The 26,544-nt window shown below is 47.5% G+C and overlaps 1 pseudogene; it reads right to left on the bottom strand.

Moving 5' to 3' along the window:
- Positions 1-15,436: 15,436 nt before the first annotated feature.
- CDRT15P9 (CDRT15 pseudogene 9) lies at positions 15,437-25,359 on the bottom strand (annotated as a pseudogene).
- Between the last annotated feature and the right edge of the window lie 1,185 nt (positions 25,360-26,544).

Raw genomic sequence — 26,544 nt, forward strand, 5'->3', positions numbered from 1 at the left:
GAGAGCACTCTGTTTCTCCCAAGCCTTGGAGCTAGCACAAAAGAGGCTGAGATATGGGGAAAGAGGAAAGACACTCAGAAAAGCTGCAGGCATTTCCCCAGACCTGGGACTGAGAGAAGGATGCCCTTTTTAATCTGGGCTCATACAAAGTCAATCATTGTTTTGTGCCTGGCAATGATGGCCACTGCAGACACTTTAATCTTGGGCTAGGAATTGGAGTGCTTGCTCTGGAGCAGGGGAGCAGCCTCCACCGCCAGAATTGAGTGTTGAGTATGGAAAGTGCCCCAGGAGTAGGTGTTGGAATTAGGCTCTCTCCTCTTGCAGGACTGTAGTGGGAAGAGAGTTCCTAAAGCAGAGGTTTCTCAAGGATGGTGAGACTTGCAGCCAAGAACAACTTTGCAACCTGGAACTGGTCTGTGTGTGTCATTGCTGGGTGTCCCAGCCTACTCCCTTGGTCAGTTGACAGAGTACTCCATCAGCTCCAAGAAACAGGAGGGAGGTGAACCCCATTCCCCAGGAGACCTAAACTTTGGTGGGGACCAGCCCTAAGGGAAGGAGGAATACAGCTTGCCAAACCCACCCCTTGGATAAAAGGAAACACGATCATGACATCAGCTGCTGAAAGGGGCACACCAAAGCCTGGGAACAGATTTAGAGAGGTAGTCATCTCTTGCCCTCTGTCCCCTTCCTAGTGCACTGCTGCAGACCCAGCAGTGGTCATCCTGTTGGGGCCCAAGGAACGTGGGCTGAAAGAGGCTGCTTCTTAGGTTTCTCCAGCAGCTCTGCCCCTGCTGAAGACTAGTACACACTGGGACAGGGCGCTTTTGGCACTTTGTCACTTCTGTACCTGTCGAGGACAAGTACACAGAGGAGAAGACCCTGCAGCCAGCTGTCACTCTTAAGCACTGTTTACTGGACTGAAGCCTTGATTACACCACCAAACAAAAATACATCACCACACCACGCCACCACAGGAGCCTATCTGCAACCAAGGAACTTGTACAGAGCCTTGGTCCTCTGAAAGTACCCAGAAATGAAGCAAATTGATCCTATACAACACACACCACAGTCATACCCTTAAGAAAAAGAAAGAATGAAAAATTAAAAAAAAAACTCCTTCCAAATGATAGCAAGTTCAGCAAAAGTAGCATCAAGTCTCTCAGATGAGAAGAAACCAGCACAAGAACTCTGGCAATACAAAAAGCCAGAATGTTCCATCACCTCCAAAGGATTACACCAGCAATCTAACAAAGAGTCCTAACCAGAATGAAACATCTGAAATGACAGGTATAGTATTCAAGATATAAGTGGCAAAAAGAAAAATCACCAAAATCCAACAGAAAGTTGAAATCCAACAACAAACCCATAACAACGATCCTGGATTTGAATGACAACATAGCCATATTAAGAAAGAACCAAGCAGAGCTTCTTGCATTGAGAAATTTACTATAGGAATTTCAAAAAACAGCTGGCAGCCTTAGCAACAGACTAGACCAAATAGAAGAAATAATTTAAGAGCTCAAATACCAGACCTTTGAATCAACCGAGTCAGACAAAAATAAAAAAAGAATTTAAAAATAATGAACCAAACTTTTGAGAAATGTAAGATTATGTAAAGGAACAAAATCTATGACTTATTGGCATTTTTTTTTTGAGACAGAATCTCACTCTGTTACCCAGTCTGTAGTGCAGCTGCATGATCTTGGCTCACTGAAACCTCCACCTCCTTGATTCAAGTAATTCTCATGCCTCAGCCTCCCAAGTATCTGAGATTACAGGCGTGTGCCAGCATGCCTCAGTAATTTTTGTATTTTTAGTAGAGATGGGGTTTCACCATGCTGGCCAGGTTGGTCTCAAATTTCTGGCCTCGGGTGATCCTCCCACCTTGGCCTCCCAAAGTGCTGGGATTACTGGCATGAGCCACTGTGCGTGGCTGACTTATTGGCATTTCTAACAGAGAAGAAGAGAAAGTAATCAACTTGGAAAACGTTTTTGAGAACATAATTCAGGAAACTGTCCTCAATCTTGCTAAAGAGGTCGACATGCTGATACAAGAAATCCAGAGAACTCCCGTGAGACTGAAGGTAGACAGTGAAGCAAATGCTTGCTTTCTTGTGTGGCTCTGATTAGCATCAGGATATCTACATTTTACATAGGAAAGGAGGGAGCAGAGGAAACAGTTATGCATTCATCTCGCATTCAGTAAATCTCCATTTTACGTAAGATAAAGTAAGCATGTAAATAGAGGGAGTGGAGTAAAGGAATACTCAATGATTCATTCATCTCAGGATAGGCAGAGGGATGATTTCTCGTCCTGACCTTGTCCCAGAACTATGAAAATAAGCTGGTAATTGAGATTCTCAGGGTGAAATTGAGCCGACTCACTTTTAGGGATAGTTTACAGGTGGGATGTGCATTCTGAAAAATTTAGGGGCTCACAGCAAACTGTGAGGGAGGACATCTGAAGAGACATGCGGCCTTCTGTCACTGTGGGAACCTCGCTTATGGATGAGGCTATGACACAGGGTTGTGAAGTTATAACTATGTGTTTGAGAACAAGGAAAGCAGTATTGCATAACTCAGTTCCCAAGCTTAATTTTCCCTTTGACACAGTTAGCTTGGGGTTGGGGTCTCTATTCTCTTTTCTCTCACAAAATCATATGGGAACATTCCAGAAAATGTGAGGTTCTGTGCTCACTATTAAATAAAAATGACCAGGAGAGCCATGGGTAAGCTCCCTCCTCAGTCATCAGGACCCCAACAGAGAGTTTTCCCCTGTGTGGACAGGGTCCTGAATTCTACAGGATCCCGTGGGGACACAAGTGTCAGGATAGAGACATTCATTCAGCCAGGCACAGTGTCTCACACCTGTAATGTCAGCTACACTGGAGGCTGAGGTCGCCTTGAGGCCAGGATTTCAAGACCAGCCTGGACAAGATAGCAAGATCCCATATCTAAGAATAAAATTAGCCGGGTGTGGTGGCATGCACCTGTAATCCTAGTTACTTGGGAGGGAGGCTGAGGTGGGAGGATTGCTTGAGCCTAGGCGTTGGAGGCTACAACGAGCTAGGATTACACCACTGCACTCCAGTCTCGGCAACAGTAAGATTTCGTATGTAACAACAACCAAACTATTCTGTGTTTTGAGTGTAAATTACCATAGCCATTGTAACAGAAATTAGGCAGCAACTCTTAACATTCAAAATGCATAAGCAATTTGGCTAAGCAATTGTACTTGTAGATTATTTATTTATTTATTTATTATTGGGACAGAGTCTCACTCCGTCCCCCAGACTGGAGTGCAGTGACATGATCTCAGCTCACTGCAACCACTGCCTCGTGGGTTCAGGCAATTGTCCTACCTCAGCCTCCCGAGTAGCTGGGGCTACAAGTGCGCATCACCATACCCAGCTAATTTTTGTATTTTTTGTAGAAATGGGTTTTTGCCATGTTGGCCAGGATGGTCTCAAACTTCTGACCTCAGGTGATCCACCCACCTCGACCTCCCAAAGAGCTGGGATTACAGGCACTAGGTCCCTAATTTAGAGCCATATTCTTTAATGTCTAAAAGCACTCTTGCATATTTATTACTGCATTGTTTGAACTTAAATATCCACAACAGGATAACAGGATAATTAAACAATTTATTGCACTATGGCACATCCATCTGTTAACAAAATGAAATCGATCTTTCTGTACTGCGGTGGAATGATTTTCTGAACATAGTTCAGGTAAAAAAAAGACCACTGTTGAATAATGCTTCTGGTATAACACAATGTGTTTGAAAATGTACACAATACTCTGTAATATCCAATGCATACATCTATCAAAGTAAATATATTTTATTCTAGGGTAATTATTAAAACATTAAGAAATACTCTTTAATCATATATGTTAAAACTTGTAGAAAATCAATAACATACAAGTAAAGAAGTTCAAGAAGCCAAAAAAAGTAATTCCGAGTGTAGAAAGCATGGTGAGAAGTGATGGAACAAAACTGCAGAAATTTAAAATGCAAAATTAAAATACATAATTCTTAATTAAAATACATAATTCTTCATTGAACCCCGAATCTGTCAGGATGTATGTGTGATCTTGGACAACACATTCAACCTCCTCACACTGAATTTTCTTGAGTGTAAACTGTTTTAGAGATGTTCCTCACCCGGTTGCATGAAGCATATCTGTGTGTGTTAAGGCACTTCCCACAGCATCTGCGACACAGAACAGTGACAGCTGTGCTCTTCGTGGTCCCTGCACACAGGCCCACAGCAGTATATTGTGTGTTTTTTTTTTTATATAAAAGCTTTGAAAATGCCCCACAGCTTCCTCAGTAACTGACTGTCAAGAGGGGCAGCCTTCAAAAGTAGAATTCTGGCAAAGGTCTTCAAAAGACACGAAATTCTGGCAACGGGCCCATTTCCCTCTAGCCTTGCTCTTCTGGATGCATCCATTCTCTCCCACAGCATAGTCGTTTTCTTCCACTCCACTGTAGAGACTGTCCTTCTAGTGGCAACAGTGATTTGAGTGATATGCGGAAATTTCTTTCCAAGCCTGTTGGAGAAGCGTCCTCTGCCTGCTTCTTTTTGGCCACCTCCTGCCATGGTAAGAGCAGAGGGCCTCCAGGGCTGCTCTGTCACCCCCAACAGCATGGACCTCACTGCAGTCACTCCGGAAGCTTCCCTCTAAAGGAAGCTTGTGCAGGAAACATCATGCATGGAGCAGCATGGGGACAGGGGCTGGCCAGCTGGGCAGGTCTCACACTCCTGACACTCAGACTCCACGATACTCCTCTGTCCCCACCCAGGGCAGATCCCTGCCCTAAAACTTTCCCCCCTCATGTCCAGCAAATGCTGCATGGAGCCCTGGAATTCTATGTGGAAAGCTAGGAAGGGGGAGAGCTGAAATGAAGATGTAATCACCCTTTCCAAAGAGGTCAGTCCGGTACTAAGCTGTGCTCCTGGGCAAGCTCTCCAGGCTGAGGGAACAGGAGCAGGGGTTATGTTGGGTGAAGGTGGAAGTGAGGGACCTCCCAGGAGGTGTAGAATATTCCACTAGGGACACCTCATACCCTTCGAGGATTAGACCTTGAGGCCTGGAGATCCCCAGGCAATTAGTATTGAAGGTCGAAAGGCCAGTGACAGGAATAGGAAGGCCCACTGTGTCATTCACAAAGCACTTCCAAACCCATCATCACAGGTGACCCTCACAACAACCCTGTGAGACCTGCAGGGCAGGGGCTCTCACAAAGGAGGAGTCAGGAATGTCAAGACTTTAACACCTTCTCCAAGTCAGGATCAGGAAATGCTGTCCCAGCCCTGACCTATATTCCCTATGCTTCCTCCCACAAAACAGCTTAGGGTGACTGCCAACTTGTGGGCAGAGACCCTCACTTTCCAATCCCCACAAGGGGCTGTGCAGTGGGGAGGATGAGGCCCCCTCCTCTGACTGTCTCCTCCAAGACCCTGTTTTCTGAGGAAGGTCACTCTGGGAACTGTTGGCCTCTGCAGATGGGGGCCTGGACCGTGTGGAAACACGACGTGAAGGTCACACCTGGCAGGCACCAGTGCTGGAGGGCAAACCTCACCTTTAAAAACTCACACTTTTTATTTTAAATTTATTTTTATTTTTAATTTATATGAGTACATGGTAGGTGTATATATTTATGGGGTACATGAGATAGTTTGACACAGGCATGCAATGTGTAATAATCACATCAGGGTAAATGGGGCATTCATCACCTCAAGCAAGGGAAATGCCAGATGCTTATAAAACCATCAGATCACATGAGAACTCACTTACTATCATGAGAACAGCATGGGGGAAACTGCCGCCATGATTCAGTTACCTCTCACTGGGCCTCTCCCATGACACATGAGGATTACGGAAATTACAGTTCAAGATGAGATTTGGGTGGCTACACAGCCAAACCATATCACCTTATAAAATTAATAAAGTGGAAATAGCAGCGGGCCTGAGTCCTGGCACCTGCCTTGTGATGCCCCCTCTTGAGGAGGGCCTGGCTTCTGTGCCATGCAGAAACTTTCCTGTGCTTCCTGTGGGCTTGGGGTGAGCCAGGTCCTCCTGGGGGAGCTGGGCACTTGTGGGACAGGAGGGTCCCTGGCCTGGGGGGTCCATTTGCCTCCTTACCCCATCAACAAAACACCGGAGGAGCCAACTCAACAAACCTCAATGTACGGCCCTTCCTGGACCCTAGGTGTTCAGGGCCCCCTGAGCTGCCCTGGGCAGAACACTGGGCAGTGGCCAGTGCTTCCCCAACAACTCCCCCATGCACAGATGCCTGGTGGACACACTTCCCTTAACCATGCTCAGCTGGAGCTCAGCCCCCATCCTAGTACCTCTGCCTTCTCCTCCAGGGCATGAAAAGGAAACCCAACTCCAAACCCATGGAGAATCCTCATCTTGGGTGAGGCCCTGGCTGGGACTCAGCCCCTTGTCAGGCCCTCGAGGAGCTCCATCTTCCCCTGTTTCCCTGCCACATGGGACCCAGGGCCTGTGGGAAAGAGTTGAGGGTGTTGTCCACTCAGCAGGTACTGCATGATCTTTGGGAAGGATTTGTGTTATACCTGCTCCTGGTAGGATAGAAGGCTCCGGAGCTGGGGAGTATTTGGGCTGTAGAAAACTGAGAAGCCCCTGACCCATCATGCATCAGAGCCCACTCCCAAGATGTGGAGCCGTCAGCTGGAAGAGCTGGGCAGTGGCAGGGGACCCCGCACCGTGAGGCCTTCCTCCTTTCCATCAGGTGACCCTAATATGTGGCCTCAGCTCTAGGGAGGTGGGCCCTAGCTGGAGGCACTGCACAGCAGCATCCTGGGTAGAGGTGCCAGGAGGGCAGGCCTGCCTTTGAGGTTATGAGGAAGGGCTGAGGCAGGCAGTGGCCAGTGGAGGGAACGGGGTGGGTACCGAGGGACTACATGGCCATCTCCTGGACATGGGGTCTGGCTGGGGGACATGAGATGGGCAGACACTGCCATCTTGATTTCATTGGCCCATCTGTGGGCTGGGAGGCCAGCTGGCGGTGTGGCCAGCTGGGAGGTAGGAGGACTCTTGGGGAAGGGAGAGTCACCTGCATGAACTCAGGGCTAGAGGGCTGTGGCTCTGGGACACACAGGGTGGCCAGGGGGAGGCTGCAGCGCCCTCTGCTGTTGGGAATGAAAGGTGTCTGCCTTGAAGTGAAAGGGTCCCTGTTCAGTTCTGGGTTCCTGTGGGACCCTCAGCAGGGATATCCTGAAGGCTCCTAACAAGCTGGAAAGCAAGGATGGTGCCTTGCCTGGAAGTCAGGATCGCCCAGCCAGGGTGGCCATCCCATGGCCTGGCTGTGTGAGGCCCTGGGGGTAGTTGTCCGCCTACCCTGCAGGGAGTGTCCCTCCTCGGCCATCAGCTGATCCAGTGCCCAGAAGGTGTCTTCCTCTGGCAGATACAGGAGGAGGATGGCAGTTAGGCAGCTCATGTCCCTGTGGTAGCCCACCTCCTGCAAGAGCCAGAGTCACCATGGAAGCATGTCACCTGAGAGGGATGAGGCCTTCTGGGAGGACTCGTGTCACTGGAGAGGACAGAGGTCACCTGGGAGACCTCCCTCAGGCCCTAGGGGATTTAGGGCACAGACTCTGCACCCCTCCCCTGACCCTGGACATGAGGGCTAAGCAAGTCCCCCACAACTCAGTTGAAAAGGGACCTGTAGGGACTTCTGCAGTGAGTGTCCAACCTCACATGGTCTGAAGGGGCACAGGCAAGGGTCATTCACATCCCCTATCATGGGCCAGGCTGGAAAGGCCAGTGTGCCAGGCCTGGGGAAGCACCTGTGAACTGCACCTACCACAAGGGCAGGCGGTGGGCCACTGATCACCACACAATGGATCGTGTGATGGCCCAGGAGCTGCCTGCCAGGCACAGGAGGGCAGCTGGGTCCAGACCCTATGTGAGCAGCCCGTGGAGTGATCTCAGCAGCTCTCCCTGTCTGGAATGGTCTGGGAAGTGGGGGCCAAGCAGGAACAGCCACCTGGGTGACCTCCTCCCTGTCTACTGTTCTCTTACGGGGTTAAGGCAAAGGGGAAATTGGATCCCTGCCAGGTTTCCAATAAAGAGGCTTCCTCAGGATTCAAACTCATTTCATGAGAAGAGCCTGGCCCCATCAGGCACCTCAGCAACTTGTCAAACATGTCTCTTGCAAGGACTATCCTGTGTGCAACACTGCTAAGCTCCTTGTTTTGGGCAGCACCAGGAGGGGAGGGTCATTTCTTCTTCTGAGACATGGTGGTTGGGTCCAGGTGACATCCACAGTCTGGGCCCTGACCCCTTTCACTCTCAGCGGGACCCCTTGAGACACCAGCTTCCCTTCCTTGCTTGGGTGTCCACACCAGCAGTTCTACCTACTACATCATTACAGCCAGATCAGGATCAATGTCCTCTCTCTGGAATAAATGCAGTGACCACTGTTCTTTGAGCATTATTTATCTTAAATTATTGTTTTAATTAGAAATGTATTTCACTTATATTAGCCAAATTTCCTTTCAATGTAACCAAATTTCTTTTAAGTGAAAATTAAATATTTACCTTCTGCTATCAAGCATTCTATGTACACAAAATGTTTATTTTTTTCAACTTTAGAAAAAATTGAAAATGTCTACATGCTACTAATCTAAAAATACAGGCTCTGGGTTTATATGGTGTTTATCTTTCTTCCAAATTTTAAGGAATAGATACTTAAATGGCATCCACTTTGTTTTAAAATACATAAAATGTTTTAAGCTTTTGACCTCAAAATTTACAGTAGCAAAGCTACTCCGTAATGAATAAACCACAGAATCAAAACAAAGAAAGATTCCACAGACCAGTCTAACCAACAATACAATTATAAACTAGTTGTTCAAATATCAAAAACCAATTTCAATGACAAATGAATGGTATGAAAACCCCGCAAATGTCAAGTAGAATATATTATACTTGAATGAAATCATGAGTTGAGAGTAGGAAATCTAGGTTTAACCAAGCAAATTAAATAATGTTTATGAGGAAATTATACTGCTAATGTTTTATTATTTGGCAAGCTATTCAGTGGAAGACAAAGATATTCTTAACGAAGTCGAAAATATATTTTAAAATGTTACTGAAGTGGATTAAAAAATAATGAGGACATGAATAACTTTTAAAAGTATTCGGCGATAAAGAGAGAAAAATAAATTTAGATTTCATACATACATAAAATATATTTAAAAAGTTGTGTTTTCTGGTTGCTCAAATAAAAGGAGCAGATATTTAAATTCCATGCCTTTCATTTTAAAGTTTAGGAAATGCTTATAGCTTTCCACACTGACATTTATACTGACACAGTTAATCTAATCGAGTGATAACAAAATCAAAACAAGCAGAATTCTCTTGAGCAATCTATTTTCTTGATTTTTAAAAGTCAATGTACTCTCAAAGAAACAAAACTCTTATTCGTGGATTCTGTTATTTGAAAACATTTACTGATCATTTACCTTACAGCAAGTGATCTCCAGCTCGTGGAAAAATATGTAAAGTTGCCCAGCTGCATTAAGCTTAAACTCTTCTGAAGGAGAAAAGAAGCAATGGAGTAGGGACATTAAAGCAGGAGTGTGGTGATATGGCTGAGACTTCTACTTGCACACTGTGGTAGCTGTGTGGAGAATGGATTGAAAAAAGGGCAATGACAGAAGCTTAAATTAGTATCAAATATGGCAATCCTGTAAATTTAGGTGTCCTTGAAATAAGAAAAATGTATAATAGTTCTCATTATTTCCCCAAGAAATCTCTGCACTTGGCCTTGTGAGGGAAGCGCTATAGTTACCAAGTGGTGGGGGTGGGAAGGTGAATTTGAAACAACATTTGGAATTACTACACTTTAAAGGTAAAGCTGACAGGAATTCCATACACGTCAGATCTGAAAATGTGTGTGTGTGTGTGTGTGTGTGTGTGTGTGTGTGTGTGTGTGTGTCTGTCTGTGTGTGTTTGTGTGTGTGTGAAGCAGGGAGAAAGAGCAAGAGTGAAAGTGAGCAAGAGAGAGAGGAGAGAGAGGGAGAGAATCAGACAGATACAGAAAGAGATTGACAGAGCTACAGAGACAGAATTGAAAGGGGACACCAAGAATATTGAGCTGAGAAACTATAAAATGGGAGTTGCCATTAAACAGAATGGGGAAGAGCAAATTTGGGGAGTTTCAGTGGCTCAATATAGACATATTAATTTTGAGATTCCTAACTGACATCCACGTGGATAAGTCAGGGAGTGTTGGGTGTAGTGTCCAGTGTTTAGGTGTAATATGAAATATCAGGAAATTAATGACACAAACATTAGTAAGAAAGCAAAGATAAGAAGTCGAAGTCCTGAGCCTAATGGTCCTCTAACATTTAAAAAATAGAAAAGATGAAACCTGCAATAAAGGACTAGGGGTAATTATCAAAAACATGGTGGGGGAAAAGTAGGTTAAGTATTCTGGAATTCTATAAAAAAGTTTTACAAAGAGAAGGTGGAGATCAACTGTGTGAAATGCTGCTGATATATAAATTAAGACGAAGGCCGAGGAGTTATGGTTCAATTTATAGTTTAACAATATGGATAGCACTTATGTTTTAATACGAGCAGCTTCGTTGGAGTGAGTAGGTGAGAAATCATATTGGAGTGGTTGCTGAAATGAAAGTCTGATCTCTGGATTCTTAAGGAAAAATTTTATTGGACTGCAGAGACATAAATTGGATTTTTAATTCTGGAGTCAGGATGTGCTCAGTAAACATGTGCCCATTAATGCCTCCTCACATTTTTTTAGCTCGGTATTCTGTTATCTTTTAATAATATAATAATGACTTGCAAAACCTACACCCATTTTGCAGCAAACCGTGACACATGTATACCTGTGTAACAAACCTGCATGTTCTGCACATTTATCCCAGAACTTAAAGTATATATATACACTTTATATATATATATATATTCTCTCTCTCTCTCTCTCTATCTCTCTCTATATATAGAGAGAGAGACAGAGAGAGAGACAGACAGACAGACAGAGAGAGAGAGAAAGAAATCCCAGCCAAGTGCGGTGGCTCATGATTGTAATCCCAGGGCTTTGGGAGGCTGAGACAGGTCGACCATCTGAGATCAGGATTGAGAACAGCCTGGCCAACATGGTGAAACCCTGTCTTTACTAAACATACAAAAATTAGCTGGGTGTGGTGGGGGGCACCTATAGTCCCAGCTACTTGAGAGGCCAAAGCAGGACAATCACTTGAACCTGGAAGGCAAAGACTGCAGTGAGCTAAGATCATGCCACAGCACTACAGCCTGGGTGACAGGGTGAGACTGCCTCAAAAACAAAAGCAAAAAACCCTTTTAATTGACAAATTTTACAAAGACTGATACTAGAGGTTGTTGGACAGGCCGTTGTCCCACATAATATCTTAAGAGTTGCCGATGCACAAGTAAGGTGGTAAAATGCCTTTGAAAAACTGACCATACCTGCTATACTTTAATATTCAGATACAAAACTCCCAGAAATTCCATCTTGTCATTTATTTCCACAAGAAAAAACAAGAGACCTGTATTAAAATATCCATTTCTATTAAAATTAATCACACTAGGTTTCTTCAAATTTTTTTATTAGTAGCTCTTGTTTTCAGCAGTACAATTTCTAATATATATGTGTATATATATTTAATATATATATGCACATATACATATATTATATATGTATATATATTAGATATATATGTATATTATGCATTTACATATATGTATATATTATATATGTATGTCTATATGCACATATGTGTATGTTATATAGATACAAATATGTATATATGTTATATATATACAAAAATGTATATATGTTATATAAATACACAAATGTATATATGTAATATATATACATATTATATGTATATATGTAATATATATACATATTATATGTATATATGTAATATATATACATATTATATGTATATATGTAATATAAATACATATTATATGTATATATATACATAATAATATGTATATATATTAGAGTTTTGCTCTTGTTGCCCAGGCTGGAGTGCAATGGTGCAATCTCGGCTCACTGCCACCTCCACCTCCCGGGTTCAAGCGATTGTCCTGCCTCTGCCTCCCAAGTACCTGGGATACAGGCATGTGCCACCACCCTCGGCTAATTTTGTATTTTTAGTAGAGATTGGGTTTCACTGTGTTGGTCAGGCTGGTCTCAAACTCCTGACCTCAGGTGATCCACTTGCCTCGGCCTCCCAAAGTGCTGGGATTACAGGTGTGACCACTGTGCTCGGCCTATTTTGTATTTTTTAATCTACAACACTCTAAGAACACATATTTTAAATAAATTTGTACATTCAGTGCCTAGAACAAAACCAGCATTTTGTAGATTCCAAAGAATTATTTGTTGTATAAATGATGAATAACTTAAATAAGTTATCATTTATAACATCTATATACAAACAATATATTACCTGAGAATACAGTGATAACATTTGTTATGTATAAAATGATTGCAATCTCAGTTAAAAAATATTTTTTGCATGAGTTATTGTCATATGCAGATGCTCACATTGTTTTGTTTAGATGAAAATGTTTGTAACTACTATGCACATTTTTGTTACTTAAGCCTTTTGGTCTTGCTGCCGTAGCAAATACTGTGCCTCTTAAGAACATGAACCTGTTTTTCTTCATTTTTTAGCAGATTTCTTAATGAAATATATAGCATACTATTTTGTTTAACACATAAGCAGACACCCTGTCAGAAGCAAAGAGACATCTACTTCACCATTACCACCCATCCCTCTGCTAATGTGGCTGCTGAAGATGTTACCTAGAGCAGAGGACTTTGTGTTCAGCCTAAGCACTTTATATCCTTTATTTTCAATTGGGTAGGAGATAAAATAATTCAGCAGCAATAAAAGTCACACTTCTTAAAGTTGCAGTCTCACCAATGCACCACAATGTAGCAGTCTCTCTTGTGAGGTATCACGTGGAGTTCTTCATCTCACCACCAAGATGATTAAGGAACAGGGACACACGGGTGAGGTTGGAGTGAAAGTTTAATAAGAAAAAGGAGGAAGCTCTCTGCAGCAGACAAAGGAGTCCAACTGGATTGCCGTTTTTACTGTTGAATCAAAAAGCTTTTATAAGAAACTCCTCTCAGCTCTATATAAAACTGTCTGCACAATTCCCTTTATATATCCAGCTGTGGGTATGTGTCTAGTCAAGCATAAAGTGGGCTTCTCTTGTTTGTATAACTGTGGGTTTGTTTTAGGTAAGCCCACCTCCTCCCTGTGCAAGTTCCCACAGAGGCCGCCATGTATATGCCTGAAAAAGGGAGGAAAATTTTACCTGGGAGCTTGCCAATTACACAAAGACAGAAGGCATGTGTGCTGGACCTTGCATGCTTATCTGTTCAGGACTTATCTGTAGGTGCAGTAGTTGTGATTTTTCAGGCTGACAGCTTCCCTGAGGACCAGTCTCTTACTTGTTTACTCAACTAATTTTCCTTTCCTTCTCCCTCAACATTATGCAGCAAAACAGAGTACACTTCTCTTTCCCAGTAAACCAGGTTGGTACTCCACTCTGAATACTTGTATTATTGGATTTCTTAGAAAAAAATATTTGGGATCATAATTTAGATGCCATCAAACAATGAACAAAAACATGCTACTTCGTTTCCCTTCTCTTCTCTTGTTACCAGACAATAGCTAGTTTTCTTTTCTCTCCAATCCCTTTTTTCTGTGCTTCTACCTGATTTTTGAAAAAACTTCTACACATTTCCAATCTTAGTATAGCAGACATCATATATGTGGTCAAACTACATACGTAGGAAGAATAGAATTATATAATTATATTCAAGCATTTTAAAATAATTACCCTTCAGTTTGTTTTGCAGTTATTTTACATAATCAAATGTCTTCCTGATATATTTTCCAACCCAGTGGTTGTCAAGCTCTGCTTTGTTTTCTAATTGCATCAGAATTATCCACAAGTCTTTTTTTTTTTTTTTGAGATGGAGTCTTACTGTTGCCCAGGCTCTAGTGCAGTGGCGTGATCTCAGCTCACTGTCATCTCTGCCTCCCTGATTCAAGTGATTCTCCTGCCTCAGCCTCCCAAGTAGCTGGGACTACAAGTGTGTACCACCATGCCTGGCTAATTTTTGTATTTTTAGTAGAGATGAAGTTTCACCATGTTGGCCAGGCTGGTTTTGAATTCCTGACCTCAAGTGATCCACTGCCTGGGCCTCCCAAAGTAGGAATTATCCAAAATTCTTATGATAAATATGGATAAATCAGCACAACTCAAGATTTAAGAAATAAAAATTTCCAAGAGAAGAAACCCAGGAATATGCATTGAAAATGACTCCCTCAGGTGATTCTGATGTGATATGTGGTCTGAGTTTAAAATGCAAGGAAAATTACCTTCCCTGCCCTCCAGTTGGCCCTTATGTCCAGATGTCCCTCTTCCCCTTTCTCATTGTGCTCTCTCCTTCTGTGCCTTTGTTCTATTCTCTCTCCACTTCTCATCCAGATGCCAAGCCCTCTTCCATCAATTGTCTTAAAACTCCAAATGGTCAGTTGCCTCTAAACTTTCCTCTGTCCCATGAACAAGTTACTCAGGCAAACGTAGAATTTAAGCTTGGACCAAGCTGAATCAAGAGCTGCAATTAAAGGTTTCCCTAAGCCCAGAGGGGACCAGCGAATACTTATAGAAGATTTTGGATTTCCTCTGAATGCATAAGGCTCTGGGTAACCTAATTCTATAGACCAAATGTTATTGTCCCCCTCAAATTCAAGTGCTGATATCTAATTCCCTATGTGATATTTGGAGGTAGGGCCTTGGGGAATGATTAGCTCATGAAGGCAGGGGCCACAGGAGTGGGATTAATAGCCCCTATTGAAGGCACCATAGAGAGCTCTCTCATCCCTTCTGTCATGTGAGGACATGGTAGAAACATGGCTGTCTATGAACCACAAAGCAAGCCCACACCAGACATGGAATCTGCTAACCACTTGACCTTGAATTTTGCCATCTCCAAAACTGAAAGAAACAAATTGGTTTATAAGCTTCCTCATCTATGGCATTCTGTTTTGACCCCAGATTAGCTAAAAACACCAAAATATCAACTTGTACACCAAATTTTGGAAATGGATGCTAAAACTTTGATGGCAAAAGGTGACTGATCTGCCTGAGAAACGAAGCTACATGATCCCTCTTTTCACAAAGCTGGAGGGAGAGTCAACACAAGCAAAAATAGGTCAAATTCTTCTAAAAGCCATACCTGAAGGGTTTTCAATATCACTTGATCAGATCGTAATTTAATCACACAAAGAGCCATAACTAAACACACAACTATCAGAGGTTTTCAATGTCACCTTAAAAACATCATCTACAATATTAGGGAGTGAAAGAAGTCATGGAAGTTTCAAAAAGTCAAACTTTATTTCAGTGTTATGGTAGAAATTTGAGATTCTTAGTTAAGCTATGAATAAATCCTTGGGCAGGTGCAGGCATGGAGATTCTGGGGTGCAGCTGCTGAGTTTAAATCTTCCTTTGGAGATGCCCCCTGGCCCCCTCAACCCCTGTCCACCTGTCAAGAAGAGGCCATCCTGGGCAGAACATTAGAGGCAAATGGCCCAGATGCCTAGCTGAGGGCAAACCTCCATGCCTGGAGGAGGAGGTCGCCTCTGGGAGCAGGAGGACCTCCTGGAACCCCTGCTCACAGGCTCCTTTTCTTGCTCTCCAGCACCTCCTGTAGGCAGGCAAACAACCCCAGCAGCAGTAGCAGCAGGCTCTTCAGCAGCAGGGCTGCTGCTCTGCTGAATGAGAGAAGTCCCTCTCCAGTGAGGCAGAGGAGCCCAGGTTGCACACCCTGGTCTCTGCCTCCATAGCTTCCACTGTGCCCAGGACTGGGAGCAGTGTGGGAGCTGCTGGCTGGAGCTGTGCTGGTCACCCCCTCTCTGCCACCTCTAGCTCCAGCCACACTTTCAGCTTGGGCAGTCCCAGGGCAATGGCAGGAGGGCTCTGGAGCCTCCTCTAGCTCCAGCGCTGTCCCTGGAGGGGGCTTTGACCCTGGTGCTGGCACTGGCTCCACAGCTGGCACTGGAAATAGCTGTATTTCTGCACCTGAAGCAGGAACTGAAAAAGGAGAGAGGTCACCAATATCACTCACTTTCCACTGGAATTTCCAAACATGAAAACAACCTCACTGAATTTAAAGGTATTTCAGCCTGAAAACATTGTCCCTGGAAAGACTTCCAGACTGCAGGTGACCTCAGCATGTGCCTGTGTCTCAATGAGCTCCAGAGGCTCCAGCTGGACAAGGACAATGTGCAGATGTGGCCCTGGTGGGATCACTGTGAGGCCTGGCCTGGTAGCTCCATCTGGGGCCTGATGTCTACCTGGTGACTCCTGTCCTGTGGTACCTGGGGGGGCCTTCTGCTAAATGGCCAGAGGCATCTGGGGTGAGGGATGAGCCTACAAGGGCATCGTCAGAAAAGAAAGGTTCTCACTCCTGCCATTCCTGAAGCAGGAGCCTTGAGATGTGCGGATGCAGCACAGGAACATCTTGCTCTCTTGAGCATCTCCCACCAAGTGAGCTGGCTATGGGGCTAACTCTAGGATGTGGGTGCCTGGTTATCGGGATTCTTTTTTTTTTTTTTTTGAGACATAGTCTCATTCTGTTGGCCAGGCTGGAGTGCAGTTTCATGATCTCAGCTCACTGCAACATCCGCCTACCAGGTTCAATCAATTCTCCTGCCTCAGTCTCCTGAGTAGCTGGGATTACAGGCACAAGACATGCACCACAACACCTGGCTAGTTGTTTTTTTTTGTTTGTTTGTTTTTTTTTTTTTTTTTGAGACAGAGTCTTGCTCTGTCTCCCAGGCTGGATGGAGTGCAGTGGCGCGATCTTGGCTCACTTCAAGCTCCGCGTCCTGGGTTCATGCCATTCTTCTGCCTCAGCCTACCAAGTAGCTGGGACTACAGGCACCTGCCACTATGCTCGGCTAATTTTTGTATTTTTAGTAGAGATGGGGTTTCACTGTGTTAGCCAGTATGGTCTCGATCTCCTGACCTTGTTTGTTTTTTGTATTTTTAGTGGACATATGGTTTTACCATGTTGGTCAGGCTGGTCTTGATCTCCTGATTTCATGATCCTCCTGCCTCAGCCTCCCAAAGTGCTGGGATTACAGGTGTGAGCCACCGTGCCTGGCCTGGTTACCAGAATTCTAATTTCCGTTAGGGTCTGTTGCCAAGGAAGTGAGGTCGCTTCTTTAAGGTTCCGTCCCCTTGGCCTCCTCCTTCCAGAAGACCTACTCAGGACCCCAGTGGGCTGCTGACTGCTCACCTTCCCCACAGGTCAACTCCTTACCTGTACACAGTTATGTCCACCCAGGGCCTGCTTGGACACCTGCACCTGATGTTCCCCAGGGGCCTAGGAATCCACTTGGGGCCTGGGAACCTACAGGGGCCTAATGTTACCCTGCAGATTGGGTAGCCACCTGGGGACCAGGCATCAACCTGGGTACTGTGGTTGACCTGTGGGCTAATGTCCAGCTGGGGACTGGTTATTCACCTGAGGCCTGATGCGTACCTGGGGCCGAATGTCCCCCTCAGGGTGAATTCCACCTCAGGCCTGTATGTCCACCTGGGGCCTGATGTCTGCCTTAGATCTGTGTCCCACTGGGGCCTTGTGTTCACCAGGGACTGGTATCCAGCTGTGGCCTGATGACCTACTGCATCCTGCTGCTCACCTACGGCCTGGTGTCTACCTGGGGCTTGGTGATCACCTGGGAGCTGGATATCAACCTGGGGCCTGGGTGTCCACTTAAGGCCTGATGTGGGCCTGGGGCCTGACTGTCCACCTGGGGACTGGGTGTCCACCTGGGGTCTGATGTCCACCTGAAGTTAGGTATTTACCTAAGGCTTGGTGTCTACCTGTGCCCTGATGTCCACATGAGTCTGGGGTTTGGTTGGGGCCTGCTGTACATCTGGGAACTTGGTGTCTATCTGAGGCCTGATGTGTACCTGGTGACTGCGATCCTCTTGAGGCCTGCTATCCACCTGGGAATGGTTTATCCATGGAAACGGTTATGTCCACCTGGGGCTGGATGTTGCCCAGCGGCTAGATGTCCACCTGTGGCCCCGTATCCACCTAGGGCCTGATGTCCACCTGGGGCATGGTGTTCACCTGAGACCCGGGTGTTTACATAGGGCCTGATGTCCAGCTGGTGCCTAGGTGCCCACTGGGGGCCTTGTGTTAACCTGGGGACTGGTATCCAGCTGGGTCCTAATGACCACCTGGGTTGAATTATTCACCTAGAGTTTGGTATTCACTTAGGGCTTGAGTGTCAGCCTTGGACCTGGTGTCCACCTGGGCCTTGGGTATCAAACTAGGGGTTTGGTATCCAGTTGAGACATCATTTGCACCTTGGGTCTGAGTGTTCGCATGAGGCCAGATGACCACTGGGGGCCTGAATGTCAACCTGGGTTCTGAAATTCACTGGAAGCCTAGGTATCTAGCTGGGGCCTGATGTCCACCTGGGACTAGGTGTCAACATGTGGCCTGATGTAAACCTCTAGTTGAGTGTCCACCTTGGGCCTGATGTCCACTGGGGGACTGATGTTCCCCTTTGATCTGATGTCTACCTGGAAACCGTGTATTCACCCATGGCCTGATGGTCACCTGGGGTTGAATGTCCAACTGTGGCCAGATGTGCACCCGGATCCTGGGCATCCACCTGGGGCCTGATGTTCATCTGGGGCCTGGAGTTCACCTGAGGCACGATGTCCACCTGAAGCCTAATGTTCATCTGAGTGCTGAGTCTAATGTACTCCTGGGTTCTAGGGTCCTCTTGGGACCTGATGTCTACCAGATCCTGGTATCCACTTGGGGCCTGGTATCCACCTAGGACTTGATATTCACCTGGGGCCTGGGAATCCACTTGATAACTGGTGCCCATCAGGGTCCTATGTTTACCTTGGGACTGGGTAACCACCTGAGGCCTGATGTCCACTTAGGGCATAAGTGTTTAGCTGGGGTCTAGTGTTCACATAGGGTCTGATGTCAACCTTGAGCCCAGGTATTCACCAGGAGACTAGTGTCCAGCTGGGACCAGATGTTCACTTGGGGCCAGGTGTCAACTTGAAGCATGGTTGTCAACCTAGGACCTGATGTCTAGTCCAGTGTCCACCTTGGGCCTGTTTACTACCCGGGGCCTGTGTGTCCACATAGACCCTGATGTCAATCTGGGGCCTGGGTATTTACCGGAGGCCTGGATATTCATTGGTACATTATGTCTACTGGAGTCTTTGTGTCAATCTGAGCTCTGATGTCCACTTAGAGATTGGGTATCCACCTAAGGCCTGTTGTTTACATGGGGCCTGTAACAAGAGGTTCCAGATGAACTCAGATGTCCACCTGAGGCCTGATGTCCACCTGAGTTCTGAGTGTTAACACAGGGCCTGCTGTCAACCTGGGACCTAAGTATTTACCTAGGGCCTGGGTGTCCAGCTGGGGCCTGACTTCCAAATAGATCTTGTGTCAACAGGTGGCTTGATGTGCACTTTGGGCCTAGGTAACTTCCTGATGACTAATGCCCACATGGCTCCTAAGGACCATCTGAGGCCTGGTATTAATTTAGAGACTGGTATACACCTGGAGTCCAGGTATCCACTTGGGACCTGATGTTCACCTGGAGTGTACGAATTCACGTGGGGCCTGGTGTCCACCTTGAGTGTGTGTATCCAATTGAGTGCTGGTGTCCACCTGGAGTCCAGTGTATACCCGGGGACTGATGTACACATGGGGCCTGGGCATCCATCTAGGACCTGATATTCAGATAAGGGCTGGCGTTCTCCTGGCCTGGTGTCCACATGGAGCCTGGATATACACTTGGAGCCGGATGTCCCAGGTGGATACCTGGGCCCCAGTGGTCATCAGATCCTAGGAAACTCTCAGGCCCCAGGTGCACATAAAGCTCCAAGTGACCACCTAGGCCACAGGTTGATACACAGGGTCCAGGTGGACACTGGGTGCAAGATGAACACCAGGCCCCTGGTGAACACAAAGCCCCAGGTGTCTACCTAGTCCTCAAGTGGACACCAGGCACTAGATTGACACACAGATACCAGGTGGACATCAGGCTGCAGGTGAACATCGGGCCTCAGGTGGTTGGGTTACTTATAGCATAGGTGGCCATCAGGTCCCAGGTCTATATCCACTCCCCACCTGAAAATCAGGATCCAGGTGGATACCCATATTCTAGGTGAACACCAGTTTCCAAATGGACATCAGGCTCCAAGTGAACACACAGGCCCCAGTTCAATACCAGCCTCAGGTAGACATCAGGACCCAGGTGGACCCCAGGCCCAATGTGCATGCCTAGTCTCTTGGAATACATCATTTTCAACGTGGACACCCAGATTCCTTGTAGACGTCTACTGCCAGGTGGATATCTGGCTGCAGGAGGACATCAGGCCCCAGGTGGAGACCCAGTACACAGGTGTAAATCAGGCTGCAGTATTTCATCAGGCCCCAGTTAAACACTTGACTAAAGGTGTGCATCAAGACCCAGGTTGACACCCAGGCTTCAGTGCACACTAGGCCCAAAGTGTACACCTGTGCCAAGGTGGGCATCAGGCCCAAGGTGTACACCAGACTCCAAGTGGACATCAGGTTCCAGGTTGACACCAGTCTCTAAGTAGATCCTTAAGCCCCAATTGGTCATCAGGCCCAAGGTGGATAGATTGACCCCAGGAGGTCTCCAGGTCCCAGGCAGGCCTCAGGTGGACACTAAGCCCTAGATTAACACAAGGTCTGAGATGGTTTCAGCCCCTGTGTGGACTTTAGTCATAAGGAGCTTACCTAGGCCCTAAGAGGACATCAGGCCCCAGGTTGACACAATGAACCATGTAGAAGTCAGGCTCTAAGTAGACACCCAGGCCCTAGGTAAATACTTTGGTCCCAAGCCAACATCAGGCCCTATGTGGACACCCAGACTCCAGGCAGATGTCAGGCCCCAGGTGAACACTGAACTCAGGGTGGTCCTCAGGCCCTAGGTTGACACATAGGCCACAGGTAGACAACAGGCATAGGTGAACTTCAGGCTAAATATGAACGTCGGGCTCCAGGAAGAAGTCTGTGCCCCAGTTAAACACCGGGTCTTAGGTAGACATCAGGCCTCAAATGGATGCCCAGGCCCCAGGTGGATATAAGGCCTCAGGCAAACACCAGATCCCAGGTAGACATTAGACACAAGATGGACACTCAGGCCACAAGTGAACATCTGTTCCCAGATGGACATCCATCCCAAGGTGGACATCAGGCCAGAGATGTACACCCAGGCCCCAGGAGAACCCCAGGCCCCAGGAGGACACTCAAGCGCCAGAAGGACACCCAGTCCCTAGGTAACTAAAAGGCCCCAAGTGGACATGATGTTCCAGATGGATATGAGGCCCCAAGTGGATACTAGGCCCAGGTGGACCCCAGGTCTCAGGGGCACACCAGGCCCCAGGGGAACACCAGGCCCTGGGTAAGCATGCAGTCCCAGGTGGACATCAGGTGCCAGGAGGACACCAGGACCCAGTTGGTCATCAAGCCACAGCTGAACACCAGTTCCCCATGAACACCAGTCCTCAGGTGGGCACCTAGTCCTCCCGTGTGCATCAGGTGCCAGGCTGACATATGCACCAGCTGAACTCTGGGCCTCAGGTGAACATCAGATCCCAGGTTGTCACCCAGGCCCCAAGTGAATACCAGGTTTTAGGTGGACACGAGGTCCTAGGTGGATGTCTATGCTCCTGGTGAACCTCAGGCCCTAGTGGACACTCAGGCCCTTTATAGACATCTGGCTCCTTGTGCACTCCCAGGGCCCAGGTAGACATGAGGACCCAGAGGAAAACCAGTCCTTAGTCATCTAACACTGAATTCCCCTAGGGCTGGAGACTGAGTATTCACCTTGGGCCTAGGAATCTACCTGGGGCCAGATGTTGATCTGGGGCCTGATGTCTACTCAGGTTCAGCTGTCCACTTAGGGTGGGGTGTTTTTCTGGGACCCAGAGTCTACCTGAAATCTTGGTATCAACCTGGGGCCTATGTGTCCACTTGGAGTCTGATGTGCACTTGAAGCCTGAATTTTCACCTAGGATCTGATGAGCACTTGGGGCGCAGGTTTCCATCTGAAAATCAGGCTCTAGTTATACATCTGGGCCCCAGGTATACCCTGGACACCGAAAGAACTCCAGCCCCTATCTTAACATGAGGTCCTAGGTGGATGCCCAGGCGTCATGTCTACATTAGGCCTCAGGTAGACACGACTCCAGGCGGGCATCAGGCCTGATATTGGCTCTATGTCTCCACCCAAATCTCATGTTGAATTGTAATCCCCATGGGTTGAAGAAGGGGCGTGGTGAGAGGTGATTGAATCATGGGGGCAGACTTCCCACTTGCTCTTCTCGTGATAGACTTCTTACGAGATCTGGTTATTTGAAAGTGTGCAGCACATCCCCCTTCTCTCTCCCTCCTCCTCCCCCATGGTAAAAAGGGCTTGCTTCCTCTTGGCTTTACATCATGATTGTAAGTGTCCCGGGCCCACCCAGTCATGCTCCCTATTAAGCCTGAAGAACTGTGGGTCAGTTAAACCTCTTTTCCTCATAAGTTGCCCAATATCAGGTAGTTTTTTATAACAGTGTGAAAATGGACTAATACAAGACCTTAGGATAACAACCATGCTTCAGGCCATAGGTGGACATCTGGCTGCAACTGGACACTATTCCCCAGGTGGATACCTAGGCTCAAGGTTGACATTAGTCTCCAGGTAAACAACAAGCCCCAGGTGAATACCTATGCCCTAAGTAGACATCAGGCCTCAGGCTGACACTCAGTCTAAGCTCAACATTAGGCTCAGGTGGACACCCAGACTCCAGGTGGATACTAGACCCCAGGGGAACACCAGACTCCTGGTAAGCATAAGGCCCCAGGAGGACACTAGAATCCAGGTGTACATAAAGCCACTGGTTGACTCCAAGCCCTCAGATGAACACCAGGCCAACTAGTGGACATTAGGCACATGAGAATACTTGGGCACCAGGCAGGTATCAGGCCCCGGGTAAACATCAAACTTCAGGTGGACATCGTTCTCCATGTAAACTCTAGCCCCAGCTAAACATCAGGCTCCAGGTGGAAGCCCAGACCCCAGGTGCACTTCTGGCCACAGTTGGACATCTGTCCCCAGGTGAATATCAGACCATGGATGGATAGCAAGTCCCCAGGTGGACATCAGGTCAAAAGAGAATATAAGTCTCTAGGAAGACATCTGGCCCCAGGTGGATACTGAACTAGAGGTTTACATCAGACCCCAGATTGACATTCAGTCCCCAGGTGGTCATGACACCTCAATTGGACACCAAGTCCTCAGGTTGATAACCAAGTCCCAGGTGGACACCACGTCAAAGATGAACACAAGACCTAAGGTTGTCATTCAAGCCCCAAATGGACACCAGGCCCTAGGTGAATAATATGACCCAGGGGATCATTGGGACCCAGCTGCATACCAGTCCCCAGGTTTACACGAGGCCCCAAGTAGGTTCCTAAGCTCTAGTTGAACATGAGGTCTCCAGTAGACACCCAGGACTAAGGTGGACATCAAGCATCAGATGGACGTCTGGCTGCGGATGAACATCAAGCCTCACATGGATACCTAGTCCGCAGGTAGGCATCAGGCCCCAGTTTGACATCAGTTTCTGGGTGGATCCTTAAGCCCCAGGTGGATATCCAGTGTCCAGCTGGACATCAGCCCCTCGTGGACGCCCAGTCCCCAGGTGAATATCAGGTCTCAGATGAACACAAGTCCTCAGGCAGACATCAGACACCAGGTGTACACTCAGACCCCAAGAGGACATCTGTCCCCAGGTTGACATCACTCTCAAGGTGTACATTAAGCCACAGATGTACACCCAGGTCCAAGGCAGACACGAGTCCCCAGTAAAACTCAAGGCCCCAGGAGGATACTCAAGCCCTAGGTGGATGCCCAGACCCCAGGTAATTACAAGGCCCCAGGTGGATACCAGATTCCAGATGAACATTAGGCCTCAAGTGGATACCTAGGCACCAGGTAGACACCAGGCCCCAGGTACATCCCCTGGTCTCAGGTGCACACTAGGTCCCCAGTGAACACTGGCTCCAGGTAAGCACCCAGTCCAAGGTAGACATCATGACCCAGGTGGTCATTAGGCCACAGCTGAACACCAATCTTGAGTGAACACCAGATCCCAGGTGGGTACCTAGTCCAGGTGGATATTAGGCCCCAAGTGGACACCCAGCCCCCAGGTGAACATCAAGCTTCAGGTGGACATCATGCCTCAGGTGAACTCCGGGTCCCAGCCCAGCTGAACATCAGGCTGCAGGTGGATGCCTAGGTTCCAGGTGCACAACAGGTCACAGTTGGACATTCAGCCCCAGGTGAACATCAGGCCATGGGTGGATAAACAGTCCACAGGTGGACATCAGGTCAAAGGTGAACATCAGTACTCAGGTGGACATCAGGCTCCAGGTTGACATCAAGCCCAAGGTGGACACTGAACTAGAGGTTTACATCAGGCCCCAGGTTGACACCCAGGCTCAGGTGGACATTGGGCCCCAGGTGGATACCTAGGCCCCTAGTAAACCTCAGATTCTAGGTTGACATTCAGGCCCCCAGTAGTCATTTGGCCCCAAGTGGACACTCAGGCGCCAGGTTCACATGATGCCTTAACTGGACACCAAGGGGCCAGTTTGATACCCAAGTCCTGTGTGGGTGCCAGGTCCAAGGTTACACTCAAGCCCCAAGTGGACACCAGGCCCTAGGTGAATAATACAACCCAGGTGGTCATTAGGCCCCAGAATGACACCAGCCCCCAGGTTAACAGGAAGCCCCCAGTGGGTACCTAGGCCCCAGGTGGACATCAGGCCTAATGTGGACACCCAGGATCAAGATGGACATCAGGACTCAGATGGACATCTGGTGACAGGTGGACAACAAGCCTGGTGTGTACCTTGTCCCCGGGTGGTCATCAGGCCCCAGTTCAACACCAGTCCCTGGGTGGATTCCTCGGCTCCAGGTGGACATCTGGTCTTCAGCTGAACATCAGACCCCAGGTGAACACCAGGTTTTAGGTGGACATTAGGCCCCTGGTGGACATAAAGTACCAGTGGACATCCATGCTGCAGGTGGACACCCAGCGCCCAGATGGGCATCAGGCCCCATTTGGACATTGAGGCCCCAGGTGGATATCAGGCCTCAGGTGAACCCAAGGTCCAACATAGACATCAGGCCTTAGGTTGACACTCAAGCACCAGATGGACTGCTGCACCTAAGCAGAAAATAGACTCCTATCTGGATATGTAAGATACAGGTATACAACAAGCCCCAGGCTGACATCCAGACCCCAGGTGGACACCATACCCCAGCTGAACAGCAGGCAACAGTTTGGCACCAAGTACCTAAGTGAAACAAAGCCTTAGGTGATTACCAGGCCATAGGTAGTCATTAGTCTCCAGCTGGACAATAGTCCCTAGGTGGATACCTAGGCCCCAGGTGGACACTAGATCCCAAATTAACACAAAAACCAAGTAAAAAATCAAGCCCCCAGTGGACAACCAGGCCCTAGGTAAATACACAAATCTCAAGCTGACACCAGGCCCTACTTGGACACCCAAGCCCTAGGTGGACTTCAGGCCACAGGTGAACACTGAACTCTAGAAGGTCTTCAGGCCCTATGTTGACTACCTGGCCCCAGGGGGACACCAGGCATAGATGAACTTCAGGCACCAGCTGTACATCAGGTTCCAGGCAAATGTCCCGGCCCCAGGTGGATATCAAACCTCAGATGAACACCAGGCCCCAGGTAGACATCAAAAACCAGGTGGACACTCAGGTCCCTACTGAATATCCATCCCCAGGTGGACATCCATCCCAAGGTGGACATGAGGCCACAGATGTACACTTAAGCCTAAGGCAGACCCCAGGCCCCAGGAAAACTCCAGGCTCCATTAGAGCACTCAGACCTCAGGTGGATGCATTGGTCCTAGGTAAATACAAGGCCCCAGACAGACATCAGGCCCCAGTGAACACCGGAGCCCAGGTGGATACCTAGTCCCCAGCTGTGCAACAAGCAGAAGGTTGACCCAGTCCCTAGCTGAACTCTGGGCCCCAGCTGAACATCATAACCCAGATGGTCACCCAGGCTCCGGGTGAACACACGGTCTTAGGTAGACATCAGGTCCCACATGAACACCCAAGCCCCAGGTAGATATCAGGCCTTAGGTGTACACCAGACCTCAGGTGGGCATCTGGCTCCAGATGGCCATAGGTGGATAACTAAGCCTCTCCTGGATATCAGGCCCCAGGTAGACACCAGGCTCCAGGCGAACATCTAGCCCCAGGGGGACATCCAGCCCCCGGTGAACATCAGGGATCACATGGATAAACAGTTTACGGATGGGCACCTGCCACAGGTGCCTCACCTCTACTCCCTGAAACCTCACTT

This window comes from Homo sapiens, chromosome 21, assembly GCF_000001405.40.
Source record: "Homo sapiens chromosome 21, GRCh38.p14 Primary Assembly".
NCBI classification, from domain to species: Eukaryota; Metazoa; Chordata; class Mammalia; order Primates; family Hominidae; genus Homo; species Homo sapiens.